At 44.6% G+C, this 7,536-nt stretch overlaps 2 annotated features.

Annotated features, from left to right (window-relative positions):
- Positions 919-1,213: a silencer, noted in NCBI's record as "tiled region #15012; K562 Repressive non-DNase unmatched - State 21:Repr". NCBI's record gives its function as "represses a minimal TATA promoter and a strong SV40 promoter by Sharpr-MPRA in K562 cells {active_cell/tissue: K562}" and the evidence as "EXISTENCE:reporter gene assay evidence [ECO:0000049][PMID:27701403]".
- Positions 1,172-1,351: an enhancer, noted in NCBI's record as "active region_24496". NCBI's record gives its function as "activates an Ori minimal core promoter by ATAC-STARR-seq in GM12878 lymphoblastoid cells {active_cell/tissue: GM12878}" and the evidence as "EXISTENCE:reporter gene assay evidence [ECO:0000049][PMID:35858748]".

Here is a 7,536-nt window from a genome sequence, read left to right as displayed (position 1 = left end):
AAATCTGAAATGCTCCAAAATTCTAAATTTTTGGAGCATTGACATGATGCTCAAAGAAAATACTCAGTAGAGCATTTTTAATTTCAGATTGTCAGATTACAGACACTCACTGGTAAGTATAATGCAAATATTCCAACATCTGAAAAAATCTGAAATGTGAAACGCTGCTATCCCAAGCATTTTGGAAAAGGAATACTCAACCTGTAGGAGATGTAACCTCTTTCATCTGACCCTAGATACATATTGGACTCATCCATGCTCTTTCATGCCCTCCAAAGGCATGATGTCCCTAAGTGGACACAGAACATCAAGGGACCCAAGGGCACGCATTTCTTTCAGCCTCAGTCTCTTTTAGCTAGGTATCATCTGGCACAGTTCTTGGTTTGGAATAGGGGCTTGATCAATCCTGGTGAAGGGAGGAAGAAAGGGAGAGAAGAGAGGGAGCGAGGGAGGAAAAACAAGCACAGCATGTTGTTGGGTGTGTGTGGCACCCTGTCAAATCTTGCTCTGTAGACCATTTTTGTGCCCTGGGACATATGACAGCTACCGCCATACAGTTCATTTATTTAACAAGCATATATTGAGCACCTGGTACTGTGCTGGGCACTGTGGTGAAACAAAGATAAATAATAAATGTGGCATGCCCTCAGGGTGCCTTCAGTCTAGCAGGGGAGTGAGGATCTGAACACATCATTTTAACTCAGAGAAAGGAAAGAAAGTCGCACTTCCAAGTGAGATGTGTGGATCTGAGCCCCAGGGCTCTAGGCCAGCAACTTGGCACTTTTTCATTATTGATTGGCTTTGCAGGTGTGGTAGTAAAGTAGGAAAAGTGGGTAGGAGGGCCATGTCTGCATTTACTGTCCCACCTGTGATCCACCCTCTTGGTAAAGGACTGGATTGCATCGTTCAACATTATTCAGGAAGTATTGATTATGTGCCTTCAGAGAAGCAGGCAAGGCTCTGCCTGGGATAATAAGCGCCCTCAAAAGCCCCTTGGATTTTTCCCAGGCCATCTGCTTCCTGCCTTTGTGCCTGTGCTCTGTTTCTGTGCCATTAATGCTCATGAGCACACACCCAGAGGTGTACACACACACACACACATGCATGCACACATGCACGTGCACACTATGTCATTACTATTATTTAGGATCTTAAACATTGCAGCCTGAACACAATCTCTTCATGGCTGCCTCTCTTTCCTGCATGGCTGGCCGCCTCCTCCACTCTCTCCCTCTGAGAATCTCACACCTCCACACCTCCCCTCCTCGACTTCCTGTCCTACCAGGCCTCCGCACTGCAGAGAGCCTGTGTGTCTCTTTTTGTTTCTATTTCCTTTTATCTCCATTTTTTTTCTCTCTGCATTTTTATATCTGCTATTGCCTTCCTTTCTGATTCTCCCTGAGTGGTATGTGTGTGTGTGCGTGTGTGTGTGTGTGTGTGTGTGTGTGTGTAAAGAAAGAGAAAGGGAGAGGGAGAGACCATTCTCTTTTGGAGTTTTCTTCCTTGATTTGATTATAGTTTCCTGCTGTAGAATCACAAATGCAACAGAGCCAATTTTAACAGCCACGGAAAAGAGTGATGCATGATTCTTGGCAGGATAGGACCAGGGTATCTGAATGAGGCAACAAAACCCAGCCTGAGTGCCTGAGGGCCTCCCCACAACACGGCCTGCCCCTGCCTACCACATTGGCTGGCTTTTAGGACCACATCTTAGCTTCACAGAGAGAAGGGATACACCAATTTTGGGCCATGGCGATGTCTCTTGGCCCAGGGCCAGGGCTGGAATTTCCCTGTCCTTGAGGGTGTCACAAATCTACGTAGAAGTTGAAGGTTGCTAAGAACCTGGCGGTGTGCTCTGGGCCCTGTAAGGGTAAGTTGGAGGTGCAGAGAGGGAAGACAGGCTGATCTGCATTCACATGGATTACCTCCTTAAGTTAATCCTCCCTGTGCCTCTGAGAAGTCTGGGTCAATTATTATAGGACTAGAAATGAGACCAAAGAAGTTAAATGACACCTCTGAGACCACACAGTTGGTGGGTCATCTGGTAGACCAGATCCAGCTCTGCCTTACTGCTTGTTTCCCAGTCAAAGCGCATGTAGTTTTTTGGGAAGGGAGATGCTAAGACTGGGTACGTATGAACTGACTTTGTATATTGGGGCTGCTGAGATGAAATCTCCTAATGAATTCCAAGTCCTTGCTTGAGGCAAGGGCTTGAGGAGGTCCCAAGATGCTCAGGCTTTGGGTTGTCTATTGAGGGATATGGGTTGTGGAAACCAGATCCTGAAGTCTGTCCCCTCTTAAAGAAACCCTCTGCAGTAAGCTTAAGACTTTTCAATCACAATGTGCATGATGATTCTCTGCTTCTTCTACTTCATTTAAAGGTATCTGCATTTTTAAGTTATGCAAAGGTATATTGAATGCCATCATGCCTCTCTTTTATGCACTGACAGCTTTCTACTGTAAACTTTTTGTGAGAAAGCCCACTTAACCTGGGTGCAGGTAGCATACTTGGGAGCAGCCTACAATGAATAAACAGTGGGGATTGGTAGATAAATATCACAACTTTCTCACCTTGCTGGAAGACAACTCTGAGGCATGAATTACACAGTCTCCAAAAGGTTCTTCTGACATTGACCCCACAGTGGTAACCTGCTCTTTAACCTACCTTCTATGGGTTTCTTCCCTTCCTTGTTTCACTTTCCCACTCTGCTATGAGTTCTCTCTAGGATCATCTCCATATAATCCTCAGATCCTTGAATCAAGCTCTAGTTCTGGGGAACTCAATCTAAGACAGTCACTTTGCAAGGTAAGGGAGTCAGAATTCAAACCCTGTTCTGTCTGACTCCAAAGCCCATGCACCTGTCTTCATCTTACGCTGCTACATAGCTAGTAAAGCTATCCCCACATCTATGCTTACCTTTTGTTATGGATAGACATGCTTTGTACCAAATCTGTTCTTTCTTCCATTATTCAGAAGGCACTTGGTGAAGTTGCAGCAAACTCAGGGGCCCTTATTTACCTTTTGCTGTGCGGGTCCTTTCAGGTATTAGTTTATAGCATGCTCATGAACTATCCGAGTTTAACCAAGTTTCCCATCTCACCAAGCCAGAGTCACTTTCCAGGGTGCAGAAGGAGGCTTTTCTCCTCTGCTAGCCTTGGTCAAGGGTAGATGGGCCAGAAGGATACATCTACTTACCTCCAGGCATGTTAAGCAACTTTTTAAAATTTGTATGAAATGGAAGTAAAATCATGCAGAGAAAAGTAGTGAGTAGTGTTTGCTTGCTCCTCCTGCAGAGGAGGCAAGTTCAAGGGAGAATAGGGAAAGGGGCTGGCTTTCTGCATAAGCTCTTTTTGTCAGCTTTTGTGCCTGGCGGACTTTTAGACCTTGCAGGGAATTTATACTATGTTCCACTTTTGTTATGTCTTTATTTTTCCTTTCAATCAGAATTTCCTATGTTATCAACCAGCTTCAATGGGTGGAATTTTTTTCCTATTGAAAACTGTAGAGGGAGGTGGGGCTCCTGAGGAATCATGGAAGGAGAATGTGGAGGTGGAGGGCACTGTTCTCTGACTGCTTTTACAGCTAGTGAGGCTGGGTAGAAGCTCCAGTCCTTAACCTCCCCATTCCTCCCAGTTCTCCTGACAAAACCCTGCAGAAGAATGCACTCTGGGACAGGAATAAGCCAACTGGACTTCCCTAGGAGATGAAGGAAGGAATAGGCAGTTGTTAGAATGTGAGTGAGGAAGAGTGGTCCAGAGACCAGCAAGGGGGACAGGTGAGATGTGAAGGAACCCACTCTCAAGGCAAGGGGTCCTATCTCCCTTAAGTGAAGGCCTCCACAGAGGTGTCATCAAAGTCCTCTTGGATGGGAAAAAATGAAAATAACTGGGGCAGGGAGAGAAGGGAAGATGATTAGCTTTTTTGTGCATGTGTGAGACTGAAGTCCAAGTTTCATACCCAGGAAAGCCATATCCAACTAACTTCCTACATGCTGCTAACAAGTGTTGCAGATTCCCTTAGCCTAAATCTATATCTATACAGATGCTCCTCGGCTTAGGATGGGTTTATGTCCCAATAAACCCACTGTAAAATAAAAAAATTCTAAGTCAAACTATAGTAGGTCGGGGACCGTCTGTGTCTCTCTCTACTTAGCTGGCTAGCTATACCGCATGTCAGAGTAAATCCTCTTCATGCCAGAGCAGAATTTTATTCATCTGGCCACTGATTGTTGTAAGCCATCAAAATATGTATCCATCAGTTGTCTCACTAATGTAACAACCATTCTCTCCTGGTATTGCTTGACAGTTGACTGATAGAGGCCATCCTCATTTGGGCCCCCAAGAGGTTTAAGAGGGAGAGAGGGATCAATTTTGTCATTCCCATTCACTCAATGCTCTTTGTTTGTTTGTTTGTTTTGAGACAGAGTCTTGCTCTGTTGCCCAGGCTGGAGTGCAGTGGCACGATCTCAGCTCACTGCAACCTCTACCTCCCGGGTTCAAGCAATTCTCCTGCCTCAGCCTCCCAAGTAGCTGGGATTATAGGTACCCACCACCACGCCTGGCTAATTTCTGTATTTTTAGTAGACTCAGGGTTTCACCGTGTTGGCCAGGCTGGTCTTGAACTCCTGACTTCAGGTGATCTGCCCTCCTCGGCCTCCCAAAGTGCTGGGATTACAGATGTGAGCCACTGCACCTGCCTACTTAGTGCTCTTGACCTCTCCTGGGGATATCGTTCTTTCTGCTCCAGCCCGATGCTTCACTGGGAGCAGTGAGTGGGGATGGGACTCCCACTTGGCTAACTACATCAGCCCAGACATCAATCTTGGACACTAGTGGGTGCCAGATGGCCATCAAATCTATTATTCCTTTTCTGCAGATGAGAGAATGGGTGTTGAGGATGGGCGGTGGCTTGCCAGGGTTCCCATCACTCTCATTGGTAGAAATAATCTAGATTCTTGGCTCATGTTCTTTCTATTCTTTCTCTTCATTTATTAAGCCTATTACATGTTGTACTAAGCACTGAGGATGTTACAAGCTAGACAAATGCCCTCTCTTCCCCATGCTTATGATAAAGAGGAGAAGATGGGCAATTAAAGAAGAAGTAACAATATGATGTGATGGGTCCTATGATTAGGGAAGCACAGGATACTCTGGAGTATAGAATGAGGGCTTCTTACCTAGTCTGAGTGTCCACGATTAATGAAGGCTTCCTGGAAGAAATGACATTTAAGCTAAGCTGGAACCTGAATGACGAGCAGGAATTATCTGAAGAATTGGCGATGGGATGATGGGGTTGAGAGAACAATATTCTAGGCAGCACGAACAGCATGGCAACATCTTGGCAATGAGAGAGAACATGATGCAGTTAAGGAATTTTTAACAAGTACAATATGGTTGAAAGATACAGGGCATGCTGGCTGGACATGTGGGGCTAGAAAGACGTAACACAGGAAACTCACCTTCCCATACAGATCCTAAATCTTTTAAGAGCAAAGGCTGTGTCTTTTGTCCCTCTTGTGAATTGAACAGCTCAGGGCTGAACATTAATGTTTAATGTTTGAATGAATTTATGAAGGTAAAAACCATATGCATCTATACAAACTCCTAAAAATGTCCAAGCCTCTCATTATTTGAGTTATGTATTAGCAAAAATACAGTTTCTTAAAAGCACATCGTGTTTGAGGTAGACTCACGTTTTCATCAATATTGGCTCCCTTGAGGTTGGGAAAAGCATCTTCCTGCCTCTCTGAGAATCTTGCCTTTCATCTGGCATTTCTGCCAGGTTCTGGGTGGCTGAATGAAGTCAACCCCCAGCTTTCCCTGTCAGTCTTTACCTGGCTGTTCCTCAAGGTCCCATAAATGGTCACCCCAGTGTGGCTGAGGGTCCTCCAACTCAAGGCTAAAAGCTCAATGAACATTTGGAAATTTGACTTGGGGAAGTCATTGCAGAGAGACGTCAAGCCCAAAGGCGAGGACAGAAAAGGAGCGGATACCAGGAGAAGAATTCACATTAATTATTTATAATTCTTACAGCCATGGATCCATCCATTGCTGGAATACTTGAAAACACACATACACACGCACAAACATGCAAATCCTAATGAATACAGGGTGGGCGTTATTGTCTTAGGTCTCACTTATGGCATGATGCTTTCTCATTCCCCCTTGATATTTTATTCCACATTTTCTGTCATCTCCCCTAATGCAATGATCACGCTGAACTAATCCAAACATCGACTTAATTAATCAACATTTGGCAGTCTATGACTACACGCTGCAGTCCAAATTACTTGTGACAACTTTCTTAATACAAAACCAAAACATCTACTGGGATGCAGTGGCTCTGTCAGCTGGCTGGAGAGCATGACTCTTCAATGTATCTAATATGTTTTAATAAAGTTGAAATAAACCTTTAGTCCCAAGGTATGACAGAGAGAATTTTGCTGCCAGAAAATGTCATTATTTTATTTTTAACTCAATAAATTAAAAATAAAGTACCTTTATGGTATAGATGCACCCTTACTAAGAGCTACCCCTCCAAGAAGACCTTCAGGTCAGGTGCTCAAGCCAACAGAGCCCTTGGTGGCTGGTGCTCTAGCCAGCTAAGAAATTAAATGTAGCCAGGTGGTTCCTTCTAGAAGCTGTGGTTCTCTTTTAGAAACTGACTCCACAATAGGAAGAAGAATCAGAATAATACTTTTTTCTATTTGTTTACTCTTTTATGATTCACAGAATACTCTCATGCACTTGATCTCATTTGATCTTACTGTACCTCTGGGATGTAGGTGAGGGAGAGATTCATTCCTTTGTTCAGCACCAATATTTCTTAAGAGCCTTCTCCATGGTAGGAACTGAGCTACACACCAGAGATTCAGGGGTGAGCAAGATGGACATGGTCCCTGCCAGGATAGATATCTTAATTTATCCCTCCAGGTTTTTTCTCCATCCTCCTCCACCCTGCCCTGTGCCCCGAAGGGTGAACGGTATGAACTGCATCACCTGAGCTTCCTGCCTTCTTGTATCTAGTTGGGTTTAGCCATAGAGGCTGAGACATTTATCCCCCTCGTTTCTTCCCTGCTGCTCTGTAGGCTGGCAGGGTCTGCGTTCCTCTTCCCAAGGCCACAGCTGCTATTTCTCCTAGAATACCCACAGATCTCCCTAGTTTCTAGGAACCACTCTCTCTTCTTTCCCCTTCAAGCCTTGGAGAAGTAATGGCTTCACACTCTTGCTACCCCTGGGGTGCCTCAAACTCTCAAATCAATTACCCCATTAAAATACACCATGTGTTTCCTTCCAGTCTGACTGGTATACCTAGCTTTACATAACATGTAGCCTGATGGCCATCTACCAAATAATGACACAAATAATTAGTTGCAACTGTGATACAATGCTTTTCAAGAGTATGTAACAGGGCATCTGACTTACTCTGGGGGAATTAGGAGTAAGTATCAGCACAGGTGATATTTAAGCTGAGCACAGAGGGCTGAGGAGGAATTAGTCATGAGGATTTTAGGTTGGTGAGAGGTGGGGTGGTAT

This window comes from Homo sapiens, chromosome 6 (genome assembly GCF_000001405.40).
Source record: "Homo sapiens chromosome 6, GRCh38.p14 Primary Assembly".
Classification (NCBI taxonomy): Eukaryota; Metazoa; Chordata; class Mammalia; order Primates; family Hominidae; genus Homo; species Homo sapiens.
This window is presented reverse-complemented; position numbering and strand designations above follow the sequence as displayed.